The sequence below is a fragment of the Homo sapiens genome, chromosome 8 (assembly GCF_000001405.40).
Source record: "Homo sapiens chromosome 8, GRCh38.p14 Primary Assembly".
NCBI classification, from domain to species: Eukaryota; Metazoa; Chordata; class Mammalia; order Primates; family Hominidae; genus Homo; species Homo sapiens.
Genome location: NC_000008.11, coordinates 128,009,410 through 128,022,765, shown reverse-complemented (window position 1 = coordinate 128,022,765; position 13,356 = coordinate 128,009,410). Strand labels below are relative to the sequence as shown.

Genomic DNA, 13,356 nt, shown 5'->3' with positions numbered 1-13,356 from the left:
CAGTTCACCACATCATTTTATAGATGAAGAAGGGAGGATCCATATAATTATGCTACTTACGTAAAGTTACTGAGCTTAGTATCTGAGTCAGGATTTGAACTTGGGCTATTTCAACTGTACCAAGTTCCATGCTGCTGCCATCAGATATCATGGGTACAAAGGAGAGGCAGCAAGAACTTGGAAGGCCAAGAGTGAACCGGACACCAGATTTGGCCCTGCCAGGAATTCTTCAGTGCATCTTATGTGTGCAAGGCCTTTGTGAGCGCAGGGAAATGCCTTCCTGACCCAGGTGGAGATCTAGCACAAGCTCTGGCCAACAGAAGCTATCCTCACCCTATACAGAATGAAAGCAAATAGCACTGAATTAAATAGCTGCAGTCAACCAGCAGCTTTATTTGGGAGAGTGGATATGAATTAAGCAGTTCCTCAGAGAAGAATGCAACTTTCCCTTTATTTCTAAGCCCCATAAATCCAGGGTAAAGGTCAAGCCAAGACTCCAAGTTAATTGATCCACTCCCACCCCGTCCCCACCTTAAAATGTCCTGGTTTTACTGGGGATAAGGAGAGCACATTGTAACCCACCTCCACACAAGGCCTGCAGCTCTGCTGGGTTGACATAGGAAAGAAAAGGCCAAACAGGGTCCAGAGCTGACACCCAGCATCTGATTCAGTGGTTCTGGGCAGGAGCACAGAAGCTGACTTTTCTTTATTTTTGGGACAGAGTCTCGCTCTGTGGCCCAGGCTGGGGTGCAGTGGCATGATCTTGGCTCACTGCAACCTCTCCCTCTTGAGTTCAAGCGATTCTCATGCCTCAGCATCCCAAATAGCTGGGATTACAGGCATGTAATGCTTCCCTACCCCTGCACTCTCCCTCACTCCCAGCACCTCTGTAATGCCACAAACATACTGATGCATGCCATCTGAGCTCAGACGCTAATCAAGAATGAAGGAGAAAGGACACTGAAGACCTCCCTGCCATATTAGGCATATTGCCTGCAGTTGTTCATTAAAATAGCACATAAATGAGTATTTATTCGGTTCTTTTTGCACTATTTTAAGATGGATGTCTCCAAGGACTTGAAAAATCCCAGGAGTATTTTTAGCACACTCACCCTGCAACAGCATTTCTGTTTGTGGGGACTGATTATACTGAGTATAAAGATGGCCCAGACAGGCCGGGCGCGGTTGCTCACGCCTGTAATCCCAGCACTTTGGGAGGCCGAGGAGGGCGGATCACGAAGTCAGGAGATCAAGACCATCCTGGCTAACATGGTGAAACCCTGTCTCTACTAAAAATACAAAAAATTAACCGGGCATGGTGGCGGGCGCCTGTGGTCCCAGCTACTCGGGAGGCTGAGGCAGGAGAATGGCGTGAACCCAGGAGGCGGAGCTTGCAGTGAGCCAAGATTGCGCCACCGTGCTCCAGCCTGAGCAACAGAGCTAGACTCCGTCTCAAAAAAAAAAAAAAAAAAAAAGCACAAGTCCTGGGGAATCGGACTGGAGAGGCAATGCCCCTGTCCCCAGTAGAGATTGTGAATCCTAGGCTGGGGGATGTGCCCTGGATTCAGTAGAAACAGGAAGCCCACAGGATGTCTGTAGCTAGGGAGCGATGGAAGCAAAGCCGCACTCCAGGAAGTTGCATCTGGAGGCAGTTTGAAGGATGGTTGGGCAGAGGGAGGGCCTGGAGTTGAAAAGACCCCTAAGGAAGCTACCAAAACATCCCAGGGGGTCTGAAATAGGAAGCCAAGGCCCACATTGCAGTGGTAAAAATCCACCAAGCGGTGACTATAGGCAGGTGGGGGAGATGAAGTGTTTGGAAGATGTTAGAACCTGCTCATTCAGGAGCAGCAGGGCAAGCTGAGCTGAGACACCTGAAAGTGAGCTACTACTGGGACTTGAAGGTCCCCTGCGAAAGTGCAAACACGCTCTGGAAAAAGCGGGGCCTGGGGCCTGCATTCCCAAACACTAGGATCCTGTATTAATTTTCTACAGCCACTATAACAAATTACTACAAACTTAGTGGCTTAAAACAACACATATAATTACCTCAGTGCTCCTTAGGTCAGAATGTGGGTTGGCTCAGCTGGTTTCCCTGCTCCTGGTTCATGAAGCTGAATTCAAGGTGACAGCGGACTGGGCTCCTATCAGGAGGTTCTGGAAGGATCCTCTTCCAAACTTATTCATGTTGCTGAATTCAGTTCCCTGCAGCTGTAGGCCGGCGGTCCCCATTTCTCTGTTGGCTGTTAGCTAGGGGCCACCGTTAGCAACCAGTCTCTCCCTCCAGTTCCTACAAGTGGGCCCCACATTTCAGAGCCAGCAGTGGCACATCAACTCCTTCTCACACTTACAATCTTTCATGGCATTTTCTTGATCACAGTCGGAGAAAACCTCTGCCTTTAAGGGCCCGTGTGATTGGATTGGATCCACCTGGATAACCAAGGATACTCTCCCTATTAGAAGTCAATTGATTAGTAACCTTAATTACATCTGCAAAGTCCCCTTTGCCATATAAAGTAACATATTCATTCATAGGCATAACATCAGAGATTAGGGCATGGGCATCTTTAGAGGGCCATTCTGTTTACCAGAGCTTCTCTGCTTCTCCACAGGAAACAGGTTGAGACATCACACAATAAATCATAAGGGGTAGAGAGCCCTGCCACAGAAGGAGGCCTGGGTTCTAAACATCATGGAGAAGGACTTTACCCAGCCTCAGTGAGGGGTGGTGGAAAAGACGAAAATCAGGAAACATTTCCCAAAAGAAAAATGAGATTCTCTGATGGAAACTGGAATTGAGCAGAGCAAAGGGATGTGTTGCCAGCAGAGTTGATTAGGCTACAGGTCATTGGAAGAACATATTTAGAAGAAACCAAAGCTAGAGTGAACTCCAAGTAAACACCAAAGTTTACTTTTTTGTCCACTGCAAGTGCACAGCATTGCAGGAGCTAGCCTCCGAGTGCCAAGCTGCTGCCATTCCTGTCTCCTGGGGGGCCGATTCTGCCTTTCCAGAAGCAACACAGTGAGCCTTCATGGAAACCCCATCCCACAAGTGAGAGAAGCTAAGTGAATCTGCACATGCTGGTCTAGGAAGACATCCGTGATACCGTAAATAAAAATGGCACACTTATCAATACCATTGCAAGTTTCCATTTCCTGCCTCCCTCAAAACAAAGTACAAAAAAGCAAACGTTGTGAGCATGTATGCACTTGCAAAAGCTGATTGTTAAATATTCAAGAAATTTGCGAACTCGTTTTTAAAGCTTTGGTTGCCTGAAATCGGCTGCGGTGGGATTTCACCATTGAAATTGACAAACCTACAATTCAGGGTTTTTGTTTCTCCTCTTGAGAAGTTTAACAGTGCACCACTACATTTGCATAAATTACCAAACTGACAACAGGGATTATCTCAAGAAGGGGCGGGATGGGTTTCAAGCTTGTGTTGGTTACTTTCCCGTCTTTATATTATTAATTTTTAAGATTGGTGCAATTATAGCAATTTTTAATTTTTTCCATTATCTCCCAGATGTAAAAAATTAACATAAAACAAAACCACCAGGCTGTAATTCCTCATTTTCAGAGTTCTTTTCCTTGGAGGCAGCAGCAGCATCCTGGGCACCGTGGCTGCCTTCAGCTGGTCCAGACGCAGTGGCTCTGACGTTCTCTGGCAGGTGGGAAACGCTGCCTGATGGTCAGCGGCTGCTCATTGCTGATGCACTGCTAAGAACTGGGCAGCCCAGACCAGCTAGACAGCTGAGGTCTTTCCGGGAAGCTGGACACACCTCCCCAGGGAAGAGCCTTCCTTAGCTGCAGACTGAGCCACAAACCTCGCGGCTCATCTGCTGCAACCATTATGAATCATACTAGGATTATCAAGGAACAATCTTCTCCAGGATCAGCCCTTTCCCTACCACTGTCGGATTCAGGGAATTTTAAGTGGTGGGGGGAGGAGGGAGGTAGCCAGTGTATTCCAGACAGCAACACTAACTGCCTGTCCTGAGGACGCAAGATTTTCTCATTTGTAAGGCTCTGCGTAACACACTCATCCTAGCACACAGGGCTTCAATGTCAGGATGCAGCCTCCTTCCCAGGAAGCTGGCTGGACACTAGGTCACAGACGAGCTGAAGCTCTCCCAAGAATACACCCCCTGTTTGACCCTGACATTTACTGCTACGGCCACCTGAAGACGAGACTTTCCATCTGGAACGTTTCGGTACCTATCTCCCTGGCATTTCTCCAGCACTCTTTTCCTCTGTGATTGTTTAGCCCAATAAGCACACAGAATGGCATTACACATAGTGGTAAAGAAGCTGTTACATGTGGTGACGAAGATGTCATTACATGCAGCAATGAAGGGGGCTTCCAGGAGCCTAACAGAGGTGACAGAGGCACAAAGGGGCTGCTGCCCACTTCCTGGGGAGAGCATCTACCAATTTCCAGCCTGTGTCTGGCACAGAGCAGCTAATCATGACATGACTGCTGACCTGTGGGTGACTTTATGTGACCTTTTATAACATCTTTTTCTTTCCTTATAATATCATCATGCCATTTGAACAATTTGCATCCTGTCCCTTTTCCCCATAATGAAGTCATTTTTAACCCTTATTTTCATGTTTACATGGCTGAAGAAAGAATTCTGTGCACGTGCTGGAGGGCCTTCCACCACTCCCCTCTCACAGGAGATTGAAGCTATTTTGGAATTTTCATGGTTATAAACACACTGCAGCCAATATTTTTGTGCGTATGCGCAACAGGATTCGGAAAATGTTCTCTGAAATAAATCTACGTATTCGTAGATTATTACAAACTCCCAGGGCGCAGGAGGGTAAGATGTGCTGGCATTCCATCTGATCCTGGTGAACACAGGAGCTGAATGTGACCTACAGCTGGGCCACATGTGGCATCACCCCCGACACAAGGAGTGAGAGCCCCAGAGACCTCATCTGACATGTGGCAGGCTGTGATGGCTGCCGATATAAATGAGGCTGTGTGTGTCCAGGTCCTATTAATTCATGTTAAAAAATTAAGGAGGGCTGGGCATGATGGCTCACGCCTATAATTCCAGCACTTTGGGAGGCCGAGGCAGGAGGATAACTTGAGCCCAGGAGTTTGAGACCAGCCCTGGCAACATAGCAAGATCCCTGCCTCTAAAAAAATTAAAAAAAAAAAAAAATAGCGCTTGGTGGCATGCACTTATAGTCCCAGCTGCTTGGGAGGCTGAGGTGGGAGGATCACTTGAACCTAGGAGGTTGAGGCTGCAGTGAGCTCACTGCACTCCAGCCTGGGCTACAGAGCAAGACTCTGTCTCAGAAACAAAACAAAATGAAAAAATTAAGGAGGCAGCTGGCCATGTAGTTGTGTAGACAACACATTCTTCATGTCTCAGGAACCGGGCAGCAGAATTTTTGCTGTTGCAGGAATCTTCCCACCTGTTCTTCTGTGGTCATTTCTGCTCCATTCTCCATTGCCCTCTGGCACACTGAGAAACCCTTTGACATGGAGACATTCAGAGGCAAAGTTTGGAAAATAGGACTCTAGGACCTCCATACAAGGGTGAGAGAATTTAATTCAGGTTAGAAATGTCGGGATTTGAGGTCCACTGGATTTCTATAGCTGCCCATATGTCCCCCAACCTCTCTGAGTCTATGCATTTCCATCTATAAGCAGGTGGGGTGACGATGGCCAGATAATCTCCAAGAGCCCCTCTCTGATGTTCTACACCATCTTGGAAACTTTTCTTTTTCTTTTGAGACAGGGTCTTGCTGTGTTTCCCAGTTTTGCCTTGAACTCCTGGGCTCAAGCCATACTCTTACCTTGGCCTCCCGAAGTGCTGGGATTACAGGCATGAGCCACCATCTTGGAATCTAAGAGGATGGGAGCTGCTAACCCAGGAATGGCAGGGAACTCATCCTCATCCAGACTGAGACATCAGACCCTCCAAACTTCAAGTTTCCACAGCACTGAAGCTCTGATTAGGAAAAGCCATGGCTTTCTGGCCAGGATAACCATGTCGTGTCACCTGGGTAGCTTATTCAATTGTGAGTGTTTAAAGAGCAGTACAGGCATGACTCATCTTCGTCTCCCTCACAGCACCAGTTGTGTGGTGAGCCTGTAGGAGAATTCGTGCTGTCTCCTTTGTAGTGAAAACAAAACCAAAGACAATCTATAAGATACCAGCAAGGGAGGAGTTAATGTAAATCATGATCCAGCTGTAAGCATTAGCCATTCCATTCATGGTGGAGATCTATCCTTAATAACACAGAGAGATGTCTACCACATATTTCCAAAGGGATACATTAATTTCAGGACCACACGAATGGTCCTGTGAGGCCATGTGTACCTACAAACAATCCACAAATAAGTAAGGCCATAGTTGGTGACACATGTTATGCAAGGGTAGGTTCACAAACCCAACCTCACTTATTCTTGAGCAACACTAAGGTATTTATGGCAGAGAATGGTTACCATCCTCGCCCCCTTTTTTTTTTTTTGAGACAGGGTCTTGGTCTGTTGCCCAGGCTGGAGTGCAATGGTGTGATCTTGGTTCACCGCAATCTCCACCTCCCAGATTCTGGTGATCCTCCTATTCAGTCTCTTAAGTAGCTGAGACCACAGGCATGTGCCACCACACGTGGCTAATTTTTGTATTTTTTATAGAGACAGGGTTTCGCTATGTTGCCCAGGCTGATCTCCAACTCCTGAGATGAAGCAATCCTCCCACCTTGGCTTCCCAAAGACCATCCCCCTTCTAAAGCTCGTCTAGAACTTATCCCTGGCAAGTGAAATGATTGTAGCCTACTTCCAGAAGACGTGTTTAAGAAGTGGTGTGCCTTCTCTCCTGTCCTTCATCTCCGCTGCCAGTTGGAGTAACTTCAAGGTCCCAGGGATGGCAGAACAACAACATGGAAGAGACCTGGGTCTCTAGATCACAGAATGAAGAAAAGCCACCTAATGACCAGGAAAACCCTTCTCAAACCTTTTTTTTTTTTTTTTTTTGAGACAAAGTCTTGCTCAGTCACCAGGCTGGAGTGCAGTGGCGTGATCTTGGCTCACTGCAACCTCCGCCTCCCAGGTTCAAGCGATTCTCCTGCCTCAGCCTCCCGAATAGCTGAATCTACAGGCGCATGCCACCACAGCCAGTTAATTTTGGTGTTTTTAGTAGAGACAGGGTTTCACCATGTTGGCCAGGATGGTCTCGATTTCTTGACCTCGTGATCTACCACCTTGGCCTCCCAAAGTGCTGGGGTTACAGACGTGAGCCACTGCGCCCAGCTTCAAACTATTATCTGACTTAGAAAGAGGTGTCTTTGAGCTACTAGAATACTGAGGTTTATTTGTTATGTCATCTAGAGTTACTCTAACTAAACAATCACTTCTCAGACAGGCACAGTGGCTCATACTTGTAATCCCAGCATTTTGGGAGGCCGAGATGGGCAGATCACATGAGGCCAGGAGTTTAAGACCAGCCTGGTCAACATAGTGAAAACCAGTCTCTACTAAAAATACAAAAAGTAGCCTGATGTGTTGGTGCACGCCTGCAATCCCAGTTACTCAGGAGGCTGAGGCACGAGAATCGCTTGAACCCAGATACCAGAGGTTGCAGTTAGCTGAGATCGCACCACTGTACTCCAGCCTGGGCAACAGAGTGAAACCCTGTCTCAAAAATAAATAAATAATAAATAAATAAATAAATAAATAAATAAATAAATAAATCTATTTCTCTTTTCTTTCTCTTAGGTGAGGAAACTGAGGCTCAACATGGTAAATTAAACTTGACAAGGATACACAACTCACAAGGTGTGGAGTCCCACTAGTTTCTTGGACAGTTTCTAAAGTCTATGATCTTTCCACAGCACCCAGCTTGTGGCATGCTAATTGCTTAAGTGCCCCTAGAGTCCAGATGAAGAAAGTTCAGGGCACAAGACTCTGAGAGTACAAAGCACTCCAGAAATAAGCCAGTTGCATTTGTCATTAGCTTTCCTGTCCACATTCCCTTTTCTTAGTCAGGTTCAGTCCATCTAGAACTTCAATTTCAATGGAAACAGAGGAAATGAATGTGGTAGCAGACATCACTAAGCACTCTCAAAGCTTTCTTGTTACTTTGAAATGGTCTAAAAAGCCCATTCTTTCTACCCACTGGGTCCCCACCTTCCCCGCCAAGTCTGTGTTCTCTGTTCGGTTCATTATCAGCACCGCCCACGGCCAGACACGGCCAGGCGGCTTCACAGAAGCCAAAGAGCTTATCAGAAATAAGTACTTTATTTGACAGTGAGGCCAGATGTGCAGAGAGAGGCATTTCAAGGCCTTCACTTCTCTTCTCATAATTAGTCAGCTTCTAGCAATGATGAGAGTCTGAAGATATCGCAAAATAATGAATGACCTTCTCAAGCAGCTCCAATGAGGGAGCGTTGTTTCAGCACCCATCACAGGATTCTAGAATGTGAGCATTGAGGGAGACCCTCAAAATACTGGCTAACCCCCCTTGTAGAGATGAGGATAAATCCACAGAGAAAAGCTATGTCGTCTGTCTGGCCACTCTCTGTGTATCCACTGTGCACCTGCCATGTGTCAGGCAGTGACCTAAACCCTGGGAGGGAATAAATGCAAAAAAGACACATTCCCTCACCTTGACGAAACAGAGCTTCGTGAGAGACACTGACCCATTTATCTCAGGCCCATACATGTTTATTGCAGGGCCTACTAACACTTGGGTCCCCACTGCTCACCAGAACAACAGCTATTACAGCAGCTACAATGGTCCAAACCTATCCTCATATACGTGTCTATAGTTCCCAGAAATCTGTAAAGATTTCTGTAAAGGTCTTTTGTGACTCCAGGATTTAACACAGCATCTCAGGATGTGATGTTTAAGCTAAATTGAGTCAAAAAAATAACTTTTTGTTCATTTTGGTCCAGCGTGATTCATTCATTAATTCATTTGACAAGGCACATTTCCTAGCCCCAATGATTAGGACTTACTGTTGAGGGATAGAGAGATAAGTAATCACAGTAAGTCCCAGGACACTATATGTGGAAGGGAAAGAAAGAATGCAGGTGACACAACTAACTCTGTCAGGAGAGTCTCCCCCACAGCAAGGTACGAATAAGGACCATTTGTTCTAGTCTCCGTAGCATCCTAGCCTATTTCCACTTCCTCTTGTCATCATCTGTCCTCTTCAAAGTTCAAATGGCTCAAGAGGCAGAGATTGTGTCTCTCTTGTCCATTCCTCAGCATTCAGCAAGTGTTCAATAAACATTTGTGGAATGAATATATCAGGTTAGGGACACAAAAACACATTACAATTCCATAATAGAAATAGAAAGTGATGATATGCTTACACATAGGAAGAAGTGGCTAACTCTGCCAGGGGGAAAAAAAAACAGGAAAAATATCTTACATACATTTATACACTCACACACATGCAGCTATTACAATGATAACAACACCATTAAGCAAGACTTATTTGTGGAACCCTAACTATTCAACAGGCATAATCCCAAGAGTTAATGCTCACAACAGACTTATAAGGAAACTAGTATTATTATCCCCATGTTACAGAGGAGATGGAAACAGAGGCACAGGGAAGGGGGGGTGGCCTTTCTGAGGTCACAGAGCTAGTAAAAACAAGAGTTGCAGTATAAATCCACATGGCACCCCCATAGACTATGACCTCAAATCAGGATGGCTTCAGGGAAGAAGGAATGAAATCATTTCTACAAAACCAAAAGCAATCGGCACAGAGCTAGCAGGCCCTGGGAACATAGCAGGCCCCTTCATGCCTCATTCCAATAACCCATGAACCTGAATGTGCAAACCTGCCCCACACCAACAAAAATTTGGTGATTCTCAACCATCTAAAGAGATTTTTTAAAACACCAAAGCCCAGATCCCTCTCTAGATCAATTAAATCTTAATCTCTGGAGTACGGTGGGAGTGGGGTGGATATTAGTAGATTTTGCAAGCCCCTAGGTGACTATGGTATACAGCCAGGACTAGGAACTCCTAGAGTGACTTGTTTACAAGGTACAAAACAGGACTCTGGCAGGAGGAGCAGCCGAGAAATTGCTGAGGATCAGCAAGAGTGCAAGAAAGAATGAGTTGACTGTTTGACTACTGTTTCCCTAGATTAATTATTCATGTGACTCGAAACAGGGTCTCCATCAACTCTGCAAGAACTCCTTGCACACCCAACAGGGCCAACGTTGGCTCACATTCATTTGAAGAGGGTGCCCAACTGTCTGCAACCCTAATGCTCTGCCCAAGAAGAGTTGAAAACCTTGCTAAACTCACTCAACTCTTGAAGCCTCCATTTTCTCATTTGCAAAATGAGAACAATAAAAGCTGGTTCTAAGGGCATTTGTGAGCATTAAAGGGGATATTGATGTTGATGAATTTACCAAAATGCAAAACAAACAGAAAAACATCAGCCTCAGAGAAAATATTATTTCCACCTTGGAAAAGACTGAGTAGAGTAAAGAGTACAGTAGAGACCCAGGTCCAAGCCTGGCTTGGCCTTTCCTAGCAAGTCTAGAAATGACTCTGCCCATGTATTCCTCTTCTGCCAACCAAGGTACCACAATAGCTCCTTCATGCATCCCCCTCATTCAGCAAATGTGTATTGAATGTCAACTCTAATGTTTTGATATAAATCATGGGAGCTAATGTACTCACAAAAATGCTTTGGAAATTTTAATGTGCTCCACAAATAAGAGGGAATCGTTTCTGTTTGTAATGATTCACTGTGAGCTCACAAGTCCCAAAGACTAAGTGACCTTATGGGGTCGCATCACAGTGCAATGCTTGGATCCTTTCAGCCCCACCCCCTCTCAGTAGTAATACAGTCCCTGTGTGGATATCTCCAGTGATGAGATCCCAACCACTGTCAGAGACAGAGCATTCTCTCAGGTTCCTTTTCCTTTTATTAAGTTGCTTTCTGTTTGCCTACTGTTTCTACCTTTCCATTTTGGTTCTGATCTTTGGGGCCACAAGAAGTATATTTGACCTCTTCTCAGCCTTTCACTAATTGAATATCACCACCATCAAGGTCCAGTCTCTACCTCCTAACTCCTCTCCACATCTTCTCTCTGTGAAGCTAAGACGGCCCTAGTTTCCTTGTATTTCTCCATTTGGAAGGCAATAATAGACTGCACCAGACTGGGTGGCTTAAATAATAGAAAATTCATTTTCTTACAGTTCTGAAGACTACAAGTGCAAGATCAAGGTGCTAGTATGGTCTGTTCTGATGAGGGCCCTCTCCTTGCATTGTGGATGGCTCCCTTCTCATTGTGTCCTCACGTAGCAGAGAGAGAAGAGAGACAGTAAGCTCTCTGAGGTCTCTTATTTTGAGGGCACTAATTTCATCACGAGAGCCCCACCCTCATAATCTCATTTAACCTGAATTATCTCCCAAAGGTCCACTTCTTAATACTGAGTACATGGGGGTAGGTTTCATCATATACGTTTGGAAGAAGGAAAACAGTTCAGTCCATAACACTCCCCCACAAAAGATTATCTTGCTAAACAGAAGCAAATCTGATTGAGACATTGACTAAGTACCCACCATGCTTACAAAACATGACTCGTATATGCTGAGGAAATCAATTTGATTGCCCTACCATCAAGACACATATAGTCTAAAGATTGTTGCCATCTACATTTTAGAGGTCCCCGCACCTTAAGACAGAATGAGCCAGAGGCCTGGGTAAATTTGGAATTTACAAATAGAGTCAAAGAAGTCAAGGCAAGAGAAAAACATAGCCCCACCCTTTCATTAGATTTTATTCTAGAGATTAAGACTCCTAAACCAAAATCACAAAATCTCAACCCATTCACTGTTGACTGATTGCCTTCTTTGGACCATGCTGCAGAAATCACAGCAGCAATAAACACGGCAGGCAAATGTGTCAACCCCTGGGGAACTTTAACTTGTTTTCTGCTGTTGTAGTGAGATCAAGTGTGTGTGATTCAACAAGACGGGACATGTGAAACTTCCCTGTACCCCTCAAGCCCAGCACAGAGCCTCATCCAGAGTAGATGCTCAATGATGACACCTTATAAAACAACAAATAATAGCCAAGACCTCTCCTAAGTCTGCTGAGGGGTAGCCACATGGCTTCTTAAAAGTCAGAGGCCATTTGCTATTAAAGAAAGCCATGAGCTTTGCGCAGTGGCAGTATCGTAGCCAATGAGGTTTCACCGAGGTGCGATTATTGCTAATAGAAAGCCACAGATGGTCCTGGAGACCAGAGCCATCAAAACCCTTGTTCTTGTGCGGAAAAGAAGGCAAACCAGGGACCGAACTTGGCTTTTGAAGATGACTCACCACCAAAATCCCAGGTCTTGATGACAGGTTAAATCTTGTAAAACTTTAATTTGGCGAAGAAGTTGGCTGCTGTATTACTCTGTCACATGTCTTGGGAGAGGTCCAGTTTCTGTCACCCTAGCATTAACTGAAAAGCGGGATGAAATATGAAGACATTTTGCAGTTTATAAGAGAAAAGCACCAGGGAGTTTTAACAATTTGGAGAAGTATCATCCTAAAATTGGACTCTAATGGTCACTGAAACCATTGCTGCATTCAGTAAAACTGGGTTGCCTAAAGCTACTGCCATGGAGAATCTAAAACAAGACATAAAGAGGCAGGAATCAGTCACATAGAGGCTTGATGTACAATATGTCCAATGAAGCTTCCACCGGAGAACTGAAAAGCAGTATCTCAGCAGAATTGCAACTTCTGATTTTAGGTTCTTGTCAATCTATTCTAACTCTTAGCAAAAGATTCTTGCTGTTCAGCCTCAGAAACACTTTTATCTTAGTCGACTTTCCTGAAATCATGCTGTATTGAGCTATGATTCTTACTCAAATGTAGTTCCTATGTCAGAATCTCATCAATGAGAAATTTCGCAAGATTGCGTGCCAAAATATCCAGTACCACACTTGCATATTTTTACTTCAAACAGAATTAACACTGCATCTTAGACACAGCGTGGTTTACCCTGCTAGTCATCTCAAACACTGAAGACGGTGACTGTACTACATGATTATTTACCTGCTCAGCTCAGGTTCCCATTGTTCACATTCACATCAAGACAGATCAGCACTGGCACAACCACTGCTTTTATTGGGTATATCAAGTGTTAACAGATCCTTCAATGTGTTTCTCAAAATCTCTGTTGGCCTATGGTAAAGAAAAATAAAATCTATTTTGAAAACTCACAGAGCTCTAGTTAAAGGTTCATTTAATACCACCTATATGTCTTTAATGTCTTTAGACAGAAAAAAAAAAAGCTTTACAGTTCAATTAATGTTTCCCCTTTGGGTGCAATTTAACAGGGAGGGCTTCAGAAAAAGAATGAAA

The 13,356-nt window shown here is 44.9% G+C and overlaps 1 long non-coding RNA gene and 1 pseudogene across 51 annotated transcripts in view, besides 1 other annotated feature; one reads left to right on the top strand and one right to left on the bottom strand.

The window, feature by feature from the left end:
• The window catches only part of PVT1 (Pvt1 oncogene), a 306,733-nt gene that overhangs the window by 78,491 nt on the left and 214,886 nt on the right, over positions 1-13,356 (bottom strand). For 47 of the 51 annotated variants that reach the window (NR_186144.1, NR_186151.1, NR_186156.1 and 44 more), the window contains 2 exons: positions 13,048-13,176; positions 12,322-12,448 (listed from right to left, as the gene is read on the bottom strand). The exons of 1 other annotated variant lie outside the window; for it this stretch is intronic. This is a non-coding gene — a long non-coding RNA (Pvt1 oncogene). Of the gene's footprint in view, positions 1-2,046; positions 2,451-8,624; positions 8,977-12,321; positions 12,449-13,047; positions 13,177-13,356 lie in introns of all 51 variants that reach the window. 3 more of the 51 variants (NR_186138.1, NR_186149.1, NR_186135.1) reach the window with 3 other exon arrangements.
• Positions 6,650-6,739: an enhancer, noted in NCBI's record as "active region_27958". NCBI's record gives its function as "activates an Ori minimal core promoter by ATAC-STARR-seq in GM12878 lymphoblastoid cells {active_cell/tissue: GM12878}" and the evidence as "EXISTENCE:reporter gene assay evidence [ECO:0000049][PMID:35858748]".
• Positions 12,155-12,384, top strand: RNU4-25P (RNA, U4 small nuclear 25, pseudogene; annotated as a pseudogene).